The sequence below is a fragment of the Homo sapiens genome, chromosome 15 (assembly GCF_000001405.40).
Source record: "Homo sapiens chromosome 15, GRCh38.p14 Primary Assembly".
Lineage (NCBI taxonomy): Eukaryota > Metazoa > Chordata > Mammalia > Primates > Hominidae > Homo > Homo sapiens.
This window is the reverse complement of record NC_000015.10, coordinates 49,477,902-49,500,127: the sequence shown is the minus strand read 5'-3', so window position 1 is coordinate 49,500,127 and position 22,226 is coordinate 49,477,902. Positions and strand designations below refer to the sequence as shown.

The window sequence follows — 22,226 nt, the reverse complement described above, 5'->3', positions numbered from 1 at the left end:
ATTCATGTATTTAGAAACAGGTCCTTTTTCAGATACATATTTTACAAATATTTTCTCCCAGTATGTTGCTTGCCCTTTCATTTCTTAATAACATCTTTTAAAAAACAAAAGTTTATAATTAGAAGAAACCCATTTATCAATTTTTTAATATAGTTTGTGCTTTTTGCATTCTATTTAATAATATTTGTGAACCCAATTTCACATGGAAATTTTATAGTATGTAGCTTTATAGTTCAGAGTTGTAGCTCTTACTTTTAGGTCTCTAATTCATTTTGAGTAATTTTTCTTAATTATATGTATAAACATTAAGAATCACTTCTTTGCATATTGCTTTAGCACCATTTGTTGAAAAGATTATCCTCTCCTCATCGAATTATCTTGGAAATCAATTGACCATACATATTGGTTTATGTCTGTTCTCTGTATTCTGTTCCACTGATGCCAATAACCAGCTACCTTTAAAACTGTAGTTTTATAATGTATCTTGAAGTTAGGTACTATAAGTCCTCCAAGTTTGCGCTTCTTTTACACAATTATTTTGGTTATTCTAGATTCTTGTCATTTCCATATAAATTTGAAAAACTGCTAGTCAGTTTCTAAAATATATACTCGGGCATCTTTATTTTAAATACATTGTATTGATCAATTTGGGGAGAATTGGTATCTTAACAAAGTGAGTTTGTCAGTTCACAAACATAGAATATGCCTATATTTATATAATACTTCTTTAATTTTTCTCAGCAATGTTTTCTAGTTTTTACTATACAGACACATCTTTTTCCAATTATACATGGCATTTTAAATTTTCAATTTTGATTATTCATGCTGCTATATAGGAAAAAACTTTTTATTTTGCATTTTTGTTGGGTGCATGTATATTTAGGACAGTTAAGTCTTTTTGTTGTATTGAATACTTTATCATTATGTAATGCCCTTCTTTTTTTTTTTTTTTTTTTTTTTTTGAGACGGAGTCTCGCTCTGTCGCCCAGGCTGGAGTGCAGTGGCGGGATCTCGGCTCACTGCAAGCTCCGCCTCCCGGGTTCACGCCATTCTCCTGCCTCAGCCTCCCAAGTAGCTGGGACTACAGGCGCCCGCCACTACGCCCGGCTAATTTTTTGTATTTTTAGTAGAGACGGGGTTTCACCGTTTTAGCCGGGATGGTCTCGATCTCCTGACCTCGTGATCCGCCCGCCTCGGCCTCCCAAAGTGCTGGGATTACAGGCGTGAGCCACCGCGCCCGGCCTGTAATGCCCTTCTTTGTCCTTTTTGATTATTGTTGTTTTAAAGTCTGTTTTGTCTGATATAAGAATAGCAACCCTTGCTCTTTTTGTTTTCCATTTGGCTGACAGATCCTTTTCCATCCCTTTATTTTGAGTCTATGGGTGTCATTTCACATGAGATGGGTCTCTTGAAGATAGCAGACTATTGGGTCTTGATTCTTTTTTCAACTTGGCACTCTGTGCCTTTTAAAAAGCTTGAAAGTGTATTATATATTTTATTTATCTCTAAATATTTGAAATACGCTTTTTATATCTGACGCTAAAACGTGACAAGATATTTTTGTTTCTGGATGAGATGGTCTAAGCTGTGGGAGCAAGGGCCAAGTTATAGTGGCTGTTTCTTTTAATTCATTGCTCAAATTTTAATTTAATAGTTCATGTTCAACCTGGGAAAATCTTCAGTTTGAAATATGTACTTGATAAAGTGTGTTAACTTAAGAGAGCTAAGGCTCTATTAACTGCCTTACTCTCATAAATGAGTAATCCTTTTATGTGACAGGTGACTTTTATTATCATCTTCATTTTTATAAGTGACAAAACCACAATATAAGTTGATTAAGTAATTTTCCTAAAGCCACATAACTGATCAGTGCTAGACTATAAATTGAAATTCAAGAAATTTTGGCCACAGAGTCTGAACTCATAACCACTTCACGTACTGCCTATCAGTCATTTGATTTTACAGGCTTATAATTAAATTAAGGCTTAAAATTATCATTGTAGAATAAGTATTGTAACTTATGAGAGTTACCATAGCCTTAATACTTCATTTATGGCAAATGTGAATGAGTTTTTAGGTCTTTTCCTGGATTAAATTTTAATAGATGAGGGTGAATGAGGAAAGATGCTAGTAGAAAGGCCAGAAAGGTAGCAGAAGACTGGACAAAAATTTACTTGTTTTCCAGTTTCGTGTACGAATTTCTCTAGAAATAGCAAGCAATGGTTAGGGGACTTGGAAAATTCACACTTTGGGGCCAAAGTGGTGCAGAGGCACAATGGCAACAATGGGCCAGAATTTCTAAACCTCTAAAAGAAACACAGCCTCCATTGAGAATTACATGTCTACCACACACCGCTGTTTTTGATGGTGGAATTAAAAGAGAAGTTGTTGTAACATTTCAAAGAGGTAAAGATCACTAAAGAGGTATTTTTTCTATAATCTTCTGCTTAGATTGTGACTACTAGGAAATCTACTTAAGAAAGAAGTTTGTTCAAATTTATGAGTTTCTTTTTTGAACTTTGAGCATCTCATATTTCTCCAGAGCTTTAATCTACTTTTAAAACTATCTTCTGTGTTTTTATATCAGTTAGTGGTCAGTGAGTGCCTCCCCCAACTCATTGATTTTGTCCTTGATGGCAGAGCAGGGTATGGATTGACGGTGAGAAACTGAAACATTCCTATCCTATAGGAAATCATTGCAAAGGGGCTTGGCTCATGGTATCTGAGAGCTTCCATATCCTGCTTGTTGCTTTACAGTTTCTGTGTACCTTACCCCCAGTCTGGACACAGTCATCATTGTGGAGAATTCTCTGAACATAAGATTCAGATCATGTATTTACTGGTGCCATAAGTATGCTTTTGTTTGGAGGCTTTCCTATACTATAGTCCCTAATGTTTCATCTGCTCTAATGTATTCAACTTGCACATAAAGAACTTGAATGTCTTTGAGCAGGTCATACAACCCCTCTGAGCTTTATTTTTACAACTGAAAAATGAGGTGAGTAGAATATTTCTATATTCCCCTTTTCCAGCATTTTGTTCTTTAAAGACTTCTATCCATAGGTGCTGAATAATCTTCCAAAGTGATTGCTGACTGTTCAGGTGTAATTAGTAATAGAGACTGGTGGTTTAGGATTCATGATTTGAGAACTCCTCTTTCTCTATAGCTGTGTGTGTGTGTGTGTGTGTGTGTGTGACTTTGTGTATACTAAAACCTTATTCTGTGTGCTGGAGGAAGGCTAAGGCAGATAAAGAGCAGAACTAGGGTAAAACATTAGTATATGTACATATGCATGCATATACATATATATGACTTAAAAGAAATATTCTGTATTCCATATATACTGCTGTCTTAGGATTGCTTCTTCTAATCTAAAACATATTTAAAACATAATTTTTTTCGACATTTGAGATGCTTATTGTAATGTGGAGTTAACTTTTTTCCAGAATTTTACAAAGAGGACTTTCTGTTTTGTTTTTAATGAAATAAACACACAGTGGATAGTTAAAATTTGCCTTCCAAACAAAATGTCATGATATCTCCCTTTTTAGGACTGGAATGTAAGCAGTTATAGAATTTCAGTATCTGGAATGACTCATGATTTATAAGCCAGCTCCTCTTAAGCAGTGTATTGTTAGATTATTTACAAGACTAAAATTTTAATGTTAATTTCTTTATTGTGGTACAATACCATTTAAGCTTTTGAACTCAAATAAAGATCATTTTTAAAAACTATTTTTATACCTCTCCCCCAATTTCTAAATTCAGTTTTTTCTCTTTGTTGGATTTTAAAGCTAAAACAATAACAAGTCTCATTCTTTTTATAAACTGTAGCTTAAACCGCAAGCAATAAGAAAAATCCTTATATTTAACTATCATGTACTTTTATGTACCTAGTACACATTACTGTACTTGGCACTGTAAGGAGATAAAAAATAAAAAGAAACACAGTAGTTACTCATACACAAGTACTAGGTGATATTTAGCAAATGACATGTTACAGAAATATTTAAAGTAATAGCCAGATGCTTTAGGATTCCATATGTTATAAAGAGCTACTTGGATTTTATTATTTATTTATTTATTTTATTTATTTTATTTTTCAAGACAGAGTCTCGCTCTGTCACCCAGGCTGAAGTGCAGTGGTGGGATCTTGGCTCACTGCAACCTCTGCCTCCCGGGTTCAAGCAGTTCTTCTGCCTCAGTCTCCCAAGTAGCTGGGACTACAGGCATGCACCACGACACTCAGCTAATTTTTGTATTTTTAGTAGAGACAGGGATTCTCCATGTGGGCCAGACTGGTCTCAAACTCCTGACCTCAAGTGATTTGCCCACCTTTGCCTCCCAAAGTGCTGGGATTAAAGCACGAGCCACCATGCCCGGCCCGGATTTTAGTTTGCACCTCTAATTTTGCTACCTCTTCACTATTAGCAATGCTCAGGGATAATAAAAAAGAAACCATTAGAAGTAGGATATAAAATAGCACTTTGAGAACTAAGCCAGTAAAATTTCCACATTATGCTTTTCATTATACATCATTAAAAGAAAACCAAGAAATTTGCACAGCTAAGGAGTGAGGAAACCCCAGAAATATGCTATTAATATGGTCAGACATACAAACTCCCAAAGTGGTAGCAATTTGTTAAGTCATATTGTTGTTAGTTGTATTTTATACTGTGTAGAGAAAGACTATATGAACAGAAGCAGAGTGAATAACATAAGGCACAGAGTAGCCCAAAGAACCGGAAATTTGGTAGAAATTTAACGGAACTATTCAGATTATTATGAGTTAGATTTCATCATTATTTGGAGAATATGTATATTTCAAACCTGTTTTCTCTCCTTTTGCTTTGATGCCATGCTCACCAAGCAATTTCAAGTTATTTAACTTCCAAGATAATTTTCCATGTCTACCATAAGATCGCCTGCAAATACCTCCCCCAGATATATTGGTCTGTTGGTTGGTAGCATTAGTCAGAGGGGCTGGGTTTAATTTTGAAACAGCAGGTTTCCATTATATTATGAAATGAATTATTAGCATATTATACTAAATGACATTAAAATGCTGTGTTATGGAGAAGTGAATGATAAGACTTTGAATACCTGAGAGATTTAGTCATCAGTTTGCATAAAACAATGTGATATATTTCTATTCATTTGCAACAATGACATTTGTATCATGCTTAGGTATTAGAATGACTCTTTGCAGTGAGGTGTGCTTATTATTCTGTCACTGAATTGGAATTGGTTTGTCCATTAGTTTAATAAATATTTGCTGAGTGCAATGAACATTTACTGAGTCCTTATATTTCCTGAGTATTAAATATATTTACTGAGTGCTTAACAGCTGCTCTTAAAGGAGCTTCGGATACATAAGGGAACAAAACAGTATCCTTTTCCTTATGGAACTTATGGGCTAGTGAGGAGAGACAGACAATAACCAACAAGTGTGATTAAATAAGTTACATAGAATGTGTAGCAGGCATACATATACCTACCATACACCTCTAGACTGGTATGAATACTGTGTGAGGGAAAAAAAAGAGCCTCCAACTGAGAGGATTGCAGGGGAAGCAGTATCCTAAGAGGACAGCTAAGTTTTCATTAGAGTAAATCAGTGCAATGTATAAATCTAGCAAAATGTTAGGAAAAGTTTTCACTAATAAAGTCCGTCTTGTAACATGGACTTCCAGGACAATACTGGACCTTGTTAAACACAGAATGAAGTCAACCAGAAAGTTTGCAACAAAAACAAAACTGAAATTGCAGTTCTTGACAATATACGTTTCTTTGTTCAACTGAATTTTTTGAATTTATTGCTGACTCTATGTTTAGGGTGTGTGTGTGTGTGTGTGTGTGTGTGTGTGTGTTTGTGTGTCTCCCACTAAGGCAATAGAGTTGATACTGGTTTGGCAGTTGTTTAATATATGCATATTTATATTTAAGACTCAAGCATTAAAATTACTGTTAGGGTCAAAGCACAATGGTAACTTATACATGTGCTCTACAACTGACATGCTAAAGACTTAGGAAGTTTTTTTCTTGACAGTCTGTCAGCTATCACTTATGGTTCTTAGTGGTTCCAAAGGCTCATTTGTTCCAAATCTGATCCTCATAAAATTGATTATATATCTATAGGTATGTAATTGTTTTAAATTTTGAAGCATGGATTTTATTAACACTATTACAGTGCCTGACACTGTACTATTGACTACACACATACATACACACACACACATATATATATATATATACACATACATACATACACAGACCCCTTTATATATTTGTGTAACTGAAATAGATGTGGACATATATAACATAAGTGTGTGTGTATTTGTGTTGCTTAAGTAGATGAGTGTAGGTGGATGGATAGATAGACACACAGGTATGCCTAGTTGCTTAAGTAGATAAGTGTAGATGGATGGATAGATAGACATACAGGTATGCCTATCCATCCTCTATTGAGATAGAGATAAAAATTCTCTAAATGCTAGATTAATGGCATAGATTGACATGCAGTGGGAATTTATAGAAGAGAAAAATCATCGTAAGGCAGGACCAAGTCTGGTAATCATTAAAGAGGAGAATCTTGATTTTGTTCTTGATGGCAGAGCAGGGTATGGATTGATAGTGAGAAGTTGAGACATTCTGGATGATAGAGACAATATAGACAAATCCCAGAGACACAAGGAAGTATGGTGCGTGTACAAAATGACATGAGAACAATGGTCTAAGGATACTATGAAGTTTGTGAACAGTGAGGAGATTGGACCAGATGGATGGAACCAATTTGTTGATGGTTTTGATTTCTAGTTTAAAGAATTTTACCCAAATTCAGTGAGCCCTAGAGAGACAACATGGGTTCTACAATTGGTAATTGACATAGTTTAAATGACATTTTAGGAATATTAGGTAACTAAACAGGAATTGAGACGAGGACTTGGAACAGAAAAACAAATAGGATGCTATTGCTAAACTTTAGGTACAATTTAATGAGGTCATGAAAGTAGTGAGGAAGAGATGAGACTGAGGGACATTAGGTAAGAAGAGTTGAGCAATCTTGGTGATTACTGGATAAAGGAACAGATTCAAGAAGAAGATTCAGGACACAGTCACCACTAAAATATGGTAACAATGACTACATTATTATGAAATTATGGAGTTTCAGTAAGTTTAGTTAATTGAATGAGATGAGCAATGTGGGTGCCAGGTTTGATCATTTATGTAGAAGACCATGCTATTTAATACATCAATGCTGCACCAACATCCCACTCTTCCAGCTCCATAAAAACTGAATGTGAAGATAATTTTTTAAACCACATTTGCTATTGTTATTCTGATTATAAAGATCATATATATTAATGTAGAAAATTTGAAAATGAAGTATTTAGAAGACAATAAAATATCACCTGTGATTTAACCTTAATAACATTAAGGCATGGTAAATATTTATCTTCTGAAAGGGAATAAAAATTCCAATATTATTTTTGAAACAGTGAATGGAGATAATTAGGAAGATTTATTAGCAAGAAAGTAACATTTTTCTTTTTTCATTATAGAGCAATATCATAAAAGTTGGACAGATGAATAGCTAGTTGAGTGACATGTACAATAAATGAGAAATATGAAAAATTAATAATTAACGCTGTAAACTATAGAAACTTAAAATTGAATTGAGATAAGCACTGCCACCTAGCAAAACAATAACAGACAGGAATAAAGAAAAGGGAGAAAAGCTGAAAAATGTTACATGATTCATTCTAAGAAGGCCTATGAGCGTGAACTGCTGAACACACTAAGCTTTCAAGGATAAGGGATGAAGTACTTCAAAAGCAAAAAGTTTTGATCTCTTGCTTTTCCTGATGGATTCTATTTAAATTGTATACAGGACTAGCATCACTATCAATGCTATCAAATATCTTGTGCTTTCAAACCTGTGACTGACAGAATTTTTTAAAAGTATAGATGTGTTTTTACCTCACATAGTGATTGCTGCATTTGTTAAATAAGTTATTTTTAAAAACAGATTCTAAAGGACTTGCCAATATATAACACAGACCTTTGTATGGCAATAGATAAGATTATGTAGGCATGATGACAAGACTGGAAAGATCTTTGTATATAAAATTTATTATATATTTTATCAATAGATTATTAATATGGATCAGTTAGTAAGCAAGTATTAATAGTATTAAGTACTTTTTGACGTTCTATTTCCTTACCAGATTACATGGGGAATTTTAAAAAGGCAATAGTTACTTTTACTTTTATCACACTCAACATATATTTATCATACAGTGCTTGATACAAACATGGTAGAATTGTCAATATATGCTTGTTTAACTGAAGTAGATGAATACACATATACATAAACATTGCATATATATATGTGTGTGTGTGTGCATATGTGTGTGTGTGTGTGCAATCAATTACTATATTAGAGTGCAATAGGATTCAGAGAAGGAAAAAAATTGTTATAAGGCAGGGGCAAGTTTGGGAATAGCTCATTAAACTTGAGCTTTGTCCTTAAGAGCAGAGCAGGGTATGGATTGATTGACAGTAGGAAGTAGAGATATTCTAAGCAGTGGGGACAGTATAGACAAAACTCAGAGGCAGAATCAATTTGCAACTTGTGTAAATCATGATAAATACAATGGACTAAAGAAACTACTAGGTGTATATTGAACAGTGAGAAGATTGGACAGTCGAGTTAGAGCCAATTGTTTGACAGCTTTGGGTGCTAGTTTAAGAGATTTAAACTAAACCCAACAGGCAAAAAAGAGCCAATATGGGTCTTCAATTGGTGACTGAAATAGTCAAAGTAGTATTATAGGAAGATTAAAGAATTAGGCAGTATATGAGATGGGAAGGAATTTGAAACAAGAAAGATTAAGGAGCTATTGCTAAATTCTAGGCATGAAGTAATAAAGCTGTAGGAGGATGAAGAAAGAGATGAATCTGAATGGATGTTGAGAAAGAAGTTAGCTGAGTGTTGGTGATTTACCATATTCACAGAGTCAAAGGGAAGGAGAGACAAGAATAAGAGCTGACTAAATTTTGAGTATAAAAGTGAGAATATTTACTTCCGGCACTGCTGATTAGAATATATTCTGGAAAAAACTTTCAGAAAATCAGTTTTTCAATTTTATTTCCTGTAATCGTCCTAAGAAAATCAGAAATATAAAGAAACATATATAAATTGTTCATATTTATCTTCATAAAATAATTGAAATAACCAAAAATAATCAACAATCGGAGATATATAATAAAGAAGTGATAGTAAAGTAGAAGCCCTCTCATCTAGCCTGGTTGTATCTATTAATTGGTTGATTAATGGAAAAATTTCAGTCAAGTGGAGAATCATTAAGGTGATATGTACATGCCCTAAATATATTTACTTCAAACATAAAAAGGTACATTCGTCATTTTTCGATGTAGAGCTATGCCCTTTCCTCTGAGTATGATTCTAATAATGATTATACCCATTAAATATTGTCTATAGTATCCAGTATCCATTTCTTTAAAATGAACTAAGAATTCAGTGACATCTGCCAAACAACTTAAGTGCATAATTTCTCTAGATTTTTATTACTTTTTCTTGTTGTTTTGCCCACCTAATTAAGCAGCAAAGTTTTTAATTACTCACCTTCTTCCATTGCCACTCCTTAGCCACTATAAGGACAGGCTCCTATTCTGAAGAATATGGAAAACAATTGCAATTTTAAACAGAGGATGCATGATCTGAAATATATTTTAACAGAATCACTTTGGCTGCTCTGTTTGAGAATGGACTGTGGTGGGGGAGGGAGAACTTTTGTGCACTTTGTATTCCATAATCATTCTGATGCAAAAACAATTGTAACTCTCTTTCTAGTGTCTACATTTCCTGTGAGCCCCAGTTGTGAATAGCAGAAATATGGAGGCATCTAGGAAAACCTAGGGGCAGGAGGGGCTGGGAGGGAATAAGACCTTTCAAGGTGTTTAAAGAAGGGACAAAGATGAAGAAGCAGGCATAGTTTCTGAAGAGGTTTTTTGGTTTTTGTTGTTGTTTTCATTTACCTAATTAGTTCTCAACTGCAGAGGCACATTAGAATCTTCTGGGGAATTTTTAAAATACCACTGCATGGGCCACCTGTCATATACACTGATGTAATTGGCCTGCGTTGGGGCCTAGGTGTCTCTCTCTCTCTCTCTCTGTCTCTCTCTCTGTCTCTCTCTCTCTCTCTCTCTCTCTCTCTCTATATATATATATATATATATATAAAATATATATATATATATAAAATATATATATATATATAAAATATATATATATATATAAAATATATATATATATCTCCTGTTCTGTATATATCTATATATCTATAGATATATATAGAACAGGGGATACCAGTGTGTACCTACCATTGAAATCAATTGTTTTCAAGTCTTTTTAGGTCTTATTCTCAGATGGTCTTGGGTAAGTGGTGGCTGATTGCCTTCAGCATCTAGAACAAAACACTCTATGGCCTAGAGGAATTCCAGCTGGCATCTATGATCTTATTCTCTTGAGGTAGGGCAGCTAAAGGGAGGATTATCTTCATGTTGAGTCTGATGGCAGGGTAATTTGCTTCATGTGGAGGCAAAGGGATATTGTTAGTTTTGCAGCTACATTGGGAGTTCTAAGTAGCCACATCTCAGGCTAAGAGGAAGTCCAGATTGGTTCAAACCTTTTGTTAATTATCCTTTGTAGGAATGGACCACGCAGTATCCCTCAAGGAAGAATCAAGAATGTTTCCACAGAGAATATACATATTTCATCTCTTTCTCTGATGAATGGATGCCCACTGAAAGCCATGAATTACTCTTATTAGACCCTGTAGAATCCCAGTTTATGGCAGTGACATTAAAAACACCTAGTTTATGACTTGGATCAGGCAGCCTGTAAAATGGCTTCCAGTGATCCCTGCTTTCTGGTATGTATGCCCTTGTATAATACCCTCCTCATGAGTGTAGGCAGAGGTAACATCGCTTTTGAAACTAGGCTATATATATTAAAATAAAAAAACAAACCTGTGGCTTCCATTTTGGGTACTTCATCTCACACTTTCTGATTTCTTGCTCCGTGGGAAACAGACTGTAATGTTGTAAGCAGTGCTATGGAGAGGTCCATGTGGTTAGGAAGTGATAGGTCCTGATAACAGCCAGTGAGGATCTAAGGTGGATCCCTTTCTGAGTTGAATATTGAGATAGATGACTACAGCCCTGGTCTACACCTTGATTGCAGCCTCATGAGGAATTCTGACCAAAAACACTGTGCTGAACCATGCCCAGGCTCCTGAGCCACATAAACTATGAGAAAACAAATATTTGTTTCAAGCCATTAAGTTTTAATTTGTTACACAGCAATAGATAACTAACACATGGAAGGATTCATCAAGAGAAGGGTTTTTCATAAGTGAAATGTTATTTTCATCTCACATTTCAATTATTAGAATATAAATGAAAGAAAATAAATTTTGATAGGCTCTCATAAATTCAATGATAAGAACTTGGAAAATGCAACCACATGATAACCAGGAAGTAAAAGGAAAACATAAGAGGCATCTTCCCAGATGAGAGTAAATATCTGGTTCCTTGAGAAGTGTAGTTTGAGAATGGAGAAATCAGATGTTATTGGAAAGAGGCTAGGACTGTATTATTTCTTGCTTCCTGTCAAGTTTTTCAACTCAAGAGAAAGTAAATTTTCCTGACAAACCATTCAAAATTAAAGGATAGGTGGGAGTATATGTGTCCCTGAAGGAACAAGTGACCTTCATTGAAAGCAGCAGCTTGGTTGAATAAATACTGTACAGAAGTGGAATAAAGAGTAGCTGACAACAATGCTGAAATAGTTACACATGAAGTTTTAATGAGCTATTTCATATTAAGATACATATTGAGAATTCAAACCAGAGAGACCAGTTAATAGATATTTTCCCAACTCTGTTTTAGGGTGATCATAGAAATGATACCCACAAGTTAGTCATAGTGGCCTGCATCCATTTCGATGTATCAGTGATGTATTCTGATTGGCCAGTAATCACCCATACTGACTGTTAAATATTTTTGTTATCACTCCTATGCGTGGTGAATTTGAGTTCTGGTTTTCTTTAGCCTTGTGTTATTTATGTGTAAAGTTGGATTATGGGAGGCAAATAATCTTTTGTGTCTCATTCACGCTCAAGTAAATGGCAGTGGAGTAGGGATGTAAACCAAACTGCATGATAAGCCCTGCAAGTCATTCTGATGTATCAATTTTGCTTACTGGTGTTTAATTGCAGACATTGTCATATTAACGCAACCACAAATATATTATGGAGTAAGATGCAAAAATCACATGAGTCTTAAGAGAAAAGAAATGTTCCGTCTGTGGTGGGCCCCCTTTGCATTATTCTCTAACTTCTTATTTTACACCTCTACTATTAGAGAAATTTCAGTAGAAAATCGTAAGGGGCACTGTTTTAGAGTTTTTCTTGTTATAGGATTGCTTTTACTACAGCTAGGTCCCCTCGCACATCTTTATGTTCTTTGGCAGTCTAGAGAACCAGAAGAGCAAACTCTATGAGATAGAAACCCTAAGAATTTACCTCCAGCATCCCTTCTCTTCTGTCATTAAATTGAATTTGTAGCCAACTCAAAGGCTGACAATTTATACTATGGTTTTTATTTTTTATATTATAATTTATATTATGGCTTATGTCAAAATGTTTTGTTCACTGCTTTGAAAGTATCTTTTGTTTACTTTTGTTATCATTTCATGTTTTAATTTTTTCTTTTCTAATTGTTAGAAACTCATGTATTTAATTTTATCTTTCAAAGAACATTTTTAAAAGGCTTACTCTGCTTATATGTATATTTTGCACAAAGCTTTCCATTCATAAACAAAAGGTGAATAGGAATCAGAATTGAAAACTACATAATTTCTTTTCTCCTTTTGAGTCAAATCATCACAGTATAGATTAGTCATTGTGTATGAAGTGCATTGCCAAGACATAGTCACATTTGTGTACAAATGTAAAGGCTATATCTCAACAGAAATAAAAAACAAAAACATGCCAAAGACCATTAGCTAATAATACTAATAATCGAAGAGTAGAAAGCATGTGCTAACTGATCTAGACTCTTGTGACAGCTGTATATCTACCCAGCTGCGTGACCTTAGGTGTATCAAAATCTCAATTTCCTAGACTACAAATGAGTAAGAGGGATGGAGGCCCCTTACAGTTTTAATATTCTAGAATTCTAAAGGTGTGTAACTAGAGCAAATTTTATTTTCTAAAATTTGCATAATAAATTTAAAAATAGGAGAAAAACAAATAATTAAAGTACATATTTCTAGAAGTCTTTTTTAGGTGACTTATACTACCAGGAATGGATTTACCACTAAATGTTGGTTTTGCCTAATTCAGCATTGCTATGTAATTTGATGGAAGTATAACTCCATAGACAAAGAGCATTTGGTCCTAACATAGCTTGTATTTTATATGTATATACACTATTTCTATTTAAATTTCTGTATAGTCATGTTTTACCCTTTTAAAATGAAGATTAGTTTTAGTGTGTATTTTCTTTTGTCTATAAACATTCAGTGAATTCACACTGAAAACTGATTATGAACAGATAGTCTGCTAGGCACTAAGGAAACACATATGAAAAACTAAGTCCTCCTCTGCCCTCAATATGCTCACAAGACTACAGTTACTGAAGCCTGACCTCAAAACCTAGCTAGCAAAGTCCTTGAATCAGGTGATAGTTCAGAATACCATTCATGCTCTCTCCCAAGAGTATATCTGAGGAAGGGCAGTTCTTTCTAGTTTTCTACATCCTGGTCGTATAGGTCAACCACAGGAAAATTAAATGAATCTATTGTTTTTGTTGACCTAGCCTTTTCATATAACTCTCATCTATAAATGTATTACCAAATACTATTTATGTAAAGGGACTTGAATGACAAATATTTTGAAATTAAAACCACAGTGGTTAGCATACCTTTTAAATTAGATAAATATTGACCTCCCATTGGTGAACATATAAAGTGCTACCAAGATCTGCCAATGAAAGACTTTTGAAGTGGAAATTCATCCTTGTAATAATCCTGTTATCTGTAGGCTGACCTCAAGCCTTCATGACATTCAGGGCCCCTTATTCTTAACTGCATCTTCTATTTTGGGCATTGTGCTCTTGCCATCTAACAGGAAAACAACTTTCAGTGCTGCCACCTTTTGAACAGCAGAGATTTCTAGAGATTAGAAAATTACTAAATTTAAATATACATAGTTTTAAAATATGATATTTTCTACCCATGCATTCAAATATATTCTAACTTTAAAATCCTGTAAATACTTATATTTGTAATGATTTTACTTATATGATCCAATTAATTGGCAAGAATATGTGGTGAAAGATTTTTTACATATTTGTATTGTTCTGTGTGAGACATCTATTGTAAGCATTGCTTCAGGCTCTTATTTTTGTCTGCCTTCCAGGATTTGCTGGCCCAAGTGCTGTGTGCTAGACTTAGTGTCAGTCAGAAAAGGGAGGGAAACTTGCCGTTGAGCCAGACAGTTTTGTTATTCCTTTAAAATTAAAAGCATATGAAACAGATACAGCTTATTAAGGTTTTTTTTTTATAAATAACATAAACTTAAATAACAAAACAATAAAGTTCAAAAACAACTTAAAATAGAGTTTAATGCTGTAACCATAGGAAAAAAGCATGATTATTTGTGGGAAGAACATTATTAAAAGCCATATTCCCAAATATGAATTATACAAAGATAGATTATGTTACTTGAAAAAAACTTAAAGATTTCTCAATTTTACTTTGAGGATTTATAAAATGTTATTTTGTGGCAAGTAAGATGAAGTACAGTATTATCATCAATCACTGTTGCTATCTTATATACAAGATTTTTGGAAACATCCTTTTAGCAATACCCTTTCCACTTGAGCAGCATTAGAAATTTTGTTCTTATTTATAGGTATAAGCATGTTCTAATCCTGTACTTTTGTTAAATTATCTATTTTATTGACTTTCATAATAGTTTTTTTGAGAATTTTTTTTCTGATTAGAGTTTAAGTAGATTATAATTTTTCACTAGAAAGCATTTAAAATGCTGCTCATTTTCCATAGTTAGTGTGGCTTGATTATCTGACAAATCCTGCCAGAAGCCTGTAGGTCTGATATACCTTATATAACAACATCTGTATTATTATTATTATAGCAGCCATTTTATAAGCAGATAGGAATATTTAAATAATCATTATCAGATAATCAAATCTAACATACTCTTAAGGGTAAATTAATTTAAGAAAAAAATTACTGTTACTAACATCATGATTGTACAACCAGTTTTACAATTTTTTACAACCTTTAGTTACTAAATCTGATTTTTGTGTATACTTTTCAAATCTTTCTTTAATGCAGTGTCTTAAAACAAACATAAATGCACAAGTCCAGCTTGATCAGTTTTTCAGTAGTTTTCCAGCCTTTCTTGATTACTAAAAAATAAAAGGAAAGAAAATTTTGAGAAGAAAGAAAACAGTCCACTTAAAGAAATCTCCCTGCTGGAACTGGTTCTTTATATACCATATGCAATTAAGTTATTGCCATAGGAAGAAAGTGGGCTGTTTTTTGTTCTTTCTTCGTTTTTTTTCCTCTTACAGGAATCCCCTTTTGATTTAAGGCAACAAACATTTCCCCTCCGTTGTGTGTCCATTTAGCTGATGCATATGTGTTGTAATGGTTTTCCAGAATTAGTTCTTTGAAGTTACAATCTTCATTGCATTCTTTCTGTTAAAACAAACAAACAAACAGACATTATCCAAATGATTTTTAGAGAGGCTCAATTAAACGAAGAGTAAGCAGGTAATATTTGGTAGAATTGAAACATACACAACTTTTTTTAACCCTCAGATTGAGCAGGCCTAATGTGGTTTATTAGCTATACTTATGTAGTATATTTGCATAAAAAGGTATCTTAAATTTGAAATAAAAACACCACATAATACACAGCTAGTTATGAAATATGTGTAGCTTTTTGGAAGTTCATGTCAACTATTCTTTAAATTAGGACCTATTTCCCCCTAAGTAACAGGCCTCATATTACTTATTCCCACATCACTCATTCTTTAACCACTGGAAATTTGGTATAATTAGCAGAACCTCTGCCTCCCTCAGGTGAGAGACTTGTTTCACAACTTTATTTACTTCTACATTGTCTTCAATGGTAATGGAAGATAAAAGGTTAATTTGTTTGTTCATCCATGCAACCATTTGTTCATTCAATTAAACCTGTATCATTATGCCTAGCTGTGGGAATACAAAGGAAAGCCAATTATATTTTATTATGGTGGGATGAACTGTTACATATTTTGCATTGTAGTGAAGTGGGGACAATGTGAATAATTACATTTCAATGCCCATGATTGTGAGATTGATGTTGATGAATGAACTAAACATTTCAAGATTTTTTCCCAAGAATTTTCATGTCAGCAATGTGCAAATTGGGTGAACTTTAACAAAAAGAGCTTTAATACTGGCAAATGGAAATTTTGGATTTTAAATATCTAAAATGCACATGGAATTTTAGAGCTGGAAGGATCCTTAGAGGTCAGTTAATTCAACTCATTTTACAGATGAAGAAACCAAAATCCAAAGAACAAGCCATTTGTCCAAAGTCACACAGAAAACATTTTTTCTTAACGTTTGAGTATAAAGTGTTTTAATAAAATCATTAAATTATACAGTTGGAGATAAATTAATTCCATTTTTACTTTTCAGAAAGGTGAGATATTTTGACAAAAATGAGTTTTAAAAATTAAGCCTAAGCTATCAATTATCAATACCTTTGCATAGAGTTTTCCTTCCTTGTTCATTGCAAGATAGAATTCACTTTCCACCCCTTTGATTGCCACAATTCCAACTGCCACTGTCCTGATTTCCATGATATCTGCAAGGAATCACAGAAAGACATGTCAAATATTCGTTCAGTTTTGCAAATGATCCACGAATGGCCATTTGTTCTTATTTCTGTTTTAATCGGAAGTTTTTAAAATTTTTAATGTGATTATTTACTCAGCCCAAGACCCCTGACCCACAACAGATACACACAAACACCAAGATAGTCATTATATAAGGGAAGTGCAAACCGATGGTTTTTTATTTTGTAGAAAATGTGTCTGTATCAAATAAATAGTTACATATTTGAGTTCAGCTTTTTATTCTCTAGAATTAAATTTCTAATTTACTATAATAATAATAGCTAATGTTTATTGAACTCATACCACATGCCAAGGATTATTGCATTGCTCTTATGTATTAACTCATTTACTCATAACCACAGATTGAGACAGGTAGTCTTGTTATCCCAGTTTTACAGATCAGGAAACTGAAGCACAGAGAAACTAAGAAATTTGCCCAAATTCTTATACCTGATAAGTAGCAGAACTGGAATTTGAACCCAGACATTCTGGCTCTTAATCATTATATAATTACTTTTCTATTTGGATAAACTTTATCTTAAAAATTATTGCCAACAGAATAGCTCTTGAATATACTGAAAGTGAAGAAAATTCTAATTAAAGCAAGTGTAAATGATGGTAAACAGAGCCTACTGCCTTAAAAAAAAGATTGTTTTAAACTGATAGTATTTTGATACATTAAAAGACCATTTAAAACAAAATTATGAATCCTGTTTATATAATACTTCATAACTTTATACCTTTGTAATTAACTTTTAAATCTTTGTTGAAATAGTATTTACAAAATGTGTTTACACAAGAATGGTAACTTACTATTTTCCTTTATTATATATATCTTCCTTAAATCCTGTGTTTTAATGACACACTAAATAAAGTAAAATCTCAAGATATTTATTAAAATGATGTAATAATTAAAATTTTAATGTACTTTTATGCAATTTGCTATTAATTACATTTTCTACATGAAGGTACAGTCCTGAGACATTCTTTTACCTATGTCTAACACAGTGCAAAGAAAAGTCAAAGTGTCAATTATCTGTGTGATTGGGCCTTCAAAAACTATTTTCTAAAATATTGACTTAAAGAAAAAACTAATTGTTTTGCCCCATACCTTCACTTCATTCTCTTATTTATTTTTTTTACTTCATTTTTGCTACCTGGATAATAAAATTTCTATTCATGTCATTGGGATTTAATGTAGCCCAGCTAATATTTGTCATTTGCCTCACATATATGTTGCATATAGAAGCCCTTTTCCCAATATACTATACTTAACACTAGTCAGAGCTCGTCCAGTTGAGAGTTTCACAGCTACTCATCTAGAAATTGGGTTTTATTAAGAAAATGCAAATGAATGGATATTAATCTTTTATATATTTATTAAGCATTATCACAATGCATACAACCCTACTGTGGTTTTAGGACACAAATTAAGAAAAACAGCCCTGGTTTCTGACACCAGAAGTTAAAACCTAATAGAAACAGCAAACACGTCCATATATTTTGCAGAATTTTGAAGAACACAGGCCTGAATAGGCTAGAGAAAATTTTAATAATTGCTTACAAGCACATGAAGGATTATGATGTTGATGCATTCATGTAACGTTCAACACATCTTCACTGAGAGCCAATTCTATGCTAGGCTTAATTCACAGACAAGCCTTGCCCTTTTAGAGCACTCTATTTGGTAACTACAACTTCATTGCAGTAAAGGAAGCACAAAGGGAAATAACATGCAGAAGAATACTATTAGGTTAAATTTGTACTAATAAAATGAAAAATACTGAAGAAATTCATTGATTCAACATATTTGCAATACCTCCAAAATGGAATAAATGTATCAGTTAGGTTGGTGCAAAAGTAATTGTGGCTTTTGCCATTACTTTTATGACAAAAACTGTAATTACCTTTGCACCAACCTAATATTTAAAAGACATATGGAATAGTTGGTTTCTAAAGATCTTAGCATTGTAAAATATCATTAAGAAGTCAATATTTTCTTTTCCTTCAAGTCTCTTTACTCCTGCCATTCCTCCCTTTATTTAATATATTTTCTTTTAGATAAAAAGAGAATGCTGATGCACAAGTTTAGAGTGTCTTTCATGATCAGTTATTAGGGACTGGAATCTGTAATGTTTGCTGGCTTTTCTTTTACAGAACAATTGTAAAACATAAATGTTGACTGATAGAGTTATTATTAATTATGATAGGCAGACATCTTCCCTTTTTGGTCCAGTCATGACAATAAGTTCATATTGCCCCTCTCCCAAAACATTTTCCTCTATCCCCTGCCTGTCTATTGCCCACTGTTTCTTTACTGCACTTTACAAAGGGGATGGCTGGATGTGGTAGCTCACACCTGTAATCCCAGCACTTTGGGAGGCCGAGTCAGGCGGAACACTTGAGGTCAGGAATTCAATACTAACCTGGCCAACATGGCGAAACCCCGTTTCTACTAAAAATACAAAAAATTATCCGGGTGTGGTGGCGGGTGCCTGTAATCCCAGCTACTCAGGAGGCTGAAGCAGGAGAATTGCATGAACCCAGAAGGCGGAGGCTGCAGTGAGCCAAAATGGCGCCACTGCCCTCTAGCCTAGGCAACAGAGTGAGACTCCGTCTCACCAAAAAAAAAAAAAAAAAAAAAATTAGTTGGGCATGGTGGTGCATTCCTATAATTCTAGCTACTTGAGAGGCTGAGGCAGGGGAATCACTTGAACTTGGGAGGCAGAGGTTGCAATGAGCCGAGGTCACACCACAGCACTCCAGTGTGGGTGGAGTGAGGCTCTGTCTCAAAATAATAGATAAATAAATAAATAAAAATAAGGTGATGAACATTTTTAATCTTATCCCTCCACATATTAGGGTTAAGGATACCAAAAATTCTTTGTAAAGATTCTACGTTTAACTGAGATGAGAATAGACTTATATTCTTAATTGCTTGACATATTTAAAAAATACCATTAACACTGGGAAATCAACATATCTAAAAGACAATTGCTTGGGAAGAGCATTAAGCAGTGTTGGCAGAATCAGTAGCTTATCAACCCTATTTTCTAGTCTATTTTGTTCCATGTCCTACAACCCTCTTTTATTCAAGAAAAGCTCAAGAATAAAGAAATTAACATTATCACTCTTTTGTTCACTTGCAGTGTGGGGAGTGATGTTCCTTTCAATATGCACAAATATTTATAGAAGTGTTAACTATGGGCGGAGCGCAGTGGCTCACGCCTGTAATCCCAGCACTTTGGGAGGCCAACGCGGGTGGATCACCTGAGGTCAGGAGTTCAAGACCAGCCTGGCAAATATGGTGAAACCCCATCTCTACTAAAAATACAAAAATTAGCCAGGCATGATGGTGGGTGTCTGTAATCCCAGTTACTCGGTAGTCTGAGTCAGGAGAATCATTTGAACCTGGGAGGCGGAGGTTGCAGTGAGCCGAGATTTCACCATTGCACTCCAGCCTGGACAACAAGAGCTAGACTCCATTTCACAAAAAAAAAAAAAAAAAAAAAAAAAAAAACAGAGGTATTAACTATGAAATCCTACCCTCCAAATCAGAAGCCACGAAGTTGCTCAGAAAACATAATAGAAAAATATGTAATATGCAGATATTAAGTTAGTTACCAATATAAGTTAATTATACTTGGTCTTTTTGTCTACAGTGTATCCGTTGCCTCACATAAAACAAATAGAAGAGGCTGTCTTTCTTTGTGGATTTCCATTTGTGCTTAAGAGAAGTTTGTTCACATTAAGTAGTACCCAGTAAATTTATTTCCAAAGATTTAAAGCATATTACATAGATGCATCAAATTGTTGACATAATGTCCATGATAGCATAATGGTAGAGTTCAAAAATATAAATAAAAGAGAGAGAGAATCAGCTCATGCAATAGAACATGAAAAACCAGGCAATATGTCAAGCACATTGACCATTTAGCCTTGTCAGCAATATTGTCAATAATAGCACAAATTTATTATTTAGGATGTCACCCTTACACACTAGAGACTATGCCCTAAATAGCTTCCCTATTTTTTATCCTCTGGTTCAATAATTCATGAATTTATCTAAACCTTTTTGTCTGTTTATTATTTAAACCTGTATCACACTTGGAATGAAAAATGGGAAACTTTGATCTAAATTGCAATTACTTTTTAAAAAAATTCTCTAAAATCTTTCATAATTTTAGGTGTCCCTCTAATCTTGTATTTCAGAAATTGATACTAATTCTTTTTTTAATTACCAATAGCTTTGTGATTTTAAAGTGCTTTAACTTTCCTATTTGAAAAATTACTTTTTAGTGTCTCACTACACAGAATCCATGCCCACCAATCTCAGCATCATTAATATTTCTTTTTCCTGAAACATTTAAAGCTTTATATTTAAAGTTTTGAAGGGGTATATATTAATATGGCTGTGCTAGCATGATAACTAAATATTATTTTCAAGTTGGAAAAAAAGTGGAGGCAGTGGTTTGATGGTTAGCCAATCAGAACATTTAATCTTGTCCTTGATCAAATATACCCTCTTTGGCATGTTAAAACTAAGAACTAGTATCAACAAAGAAAAAAACATTTAAATTTAAATACATTTTATGATTTTCTGTCAAGCCTGGATTGTTGAGTGGGAAATCTTAACTATTATATATTTTTATTATGTTTAAGGCTATAGATTCCATTCATTTTACATCACTAAAATACACCGACATATACATATATGCAAAAAATATATCAATATATCCAACATATACAAAAAACACTGAAAACACAACAATAAGAAAAAAAAAACCTAGTTAAAAAGTGGGCAAAATCTGGACACCTCACTAAAGATACACAAAGGGCAAATAAGCATATGAAAAGATGCTCAATATCATAGATCATTAAAGAATTGCAACATGGATGCAGCCGGAGGCCATTATCCTAAGCAAATTAACACATGAACAGAAAACTAAATACTGCATGTTTTCCCTTATAAGTGGGAGCTAAACACTGGGTACTTAGGGACATAAAGATGGCAACAACTGACACTGGGGACTACTGGCGGGGAGTAGATGAGGGAAGGGTTGAAAAACCATTAGGTACTACGCTCAGTACCTGGGTGATGGGAGCAATCATACCTCAAACCTCAGTATCACACAATATACCCAGGTAACAGACCTGCACATGTACCCCCTGAATCTAAAATAAAAGTTGAAATTATTTAAAAAGGAATTGCAAATTA

The 22,226-nt window shown here is 33.8% G+C and overlaps 2 protein-coding genes across 29 annotated transcripts in view; one reads left to right on the top strand and one right to left on the bottom strand.

Annotated features, from left to right (window-relative positions):
- Nucleotides 1–22,226, top strand: part of FAM227B (family with sequence similarity 227 member B) — a 293,849-nt gene that overhangs the window by 120,691 nt on the left and 150,932 nt on the right. The window contains exon 11 of one of the 28 annotated variants that reach the window (XM_024449863.2): nt 10,737–14,710. The exons of the other annotated variants lie outside the window; for them this stretch is intronic. Within the exon in view, the coding sequence (XP_024305631.1) occupies nt 10,737–10,816 (80 nt within the window). The 3' untranslated portion in view covers nt 10,817–14,710. Of the gene's footprint in view, nt 1–10,736; nt 14,711–22,226 lie in introns of those variants that run through there. 28 annotated transcript variants of the gene reach the window in all.
- Nucleotides 11,353–22,226, bottom strand: part of FGF7 (fibroblast growth factor 7) — a 65,534-nt gene continuing 54,660 nt past the window's right edge. The window contains exons 3-4 of the mRNA NM_002009.4: nt 16,874–16,977; nt 11,353–15,818 (exon numbers count right to left, since the gene is read on the bottom strand). Coding sequence (NP_002000.1) covers nt 15,624–15,818; nt 16,874–16,977 — 299 coding nt within the window. The 3' untranslated portion in view covers nt 11,353–15,623. The remainder of the gene's footprint in view (nt 15,819–16,873; nt 16,978–22,226) is intronic.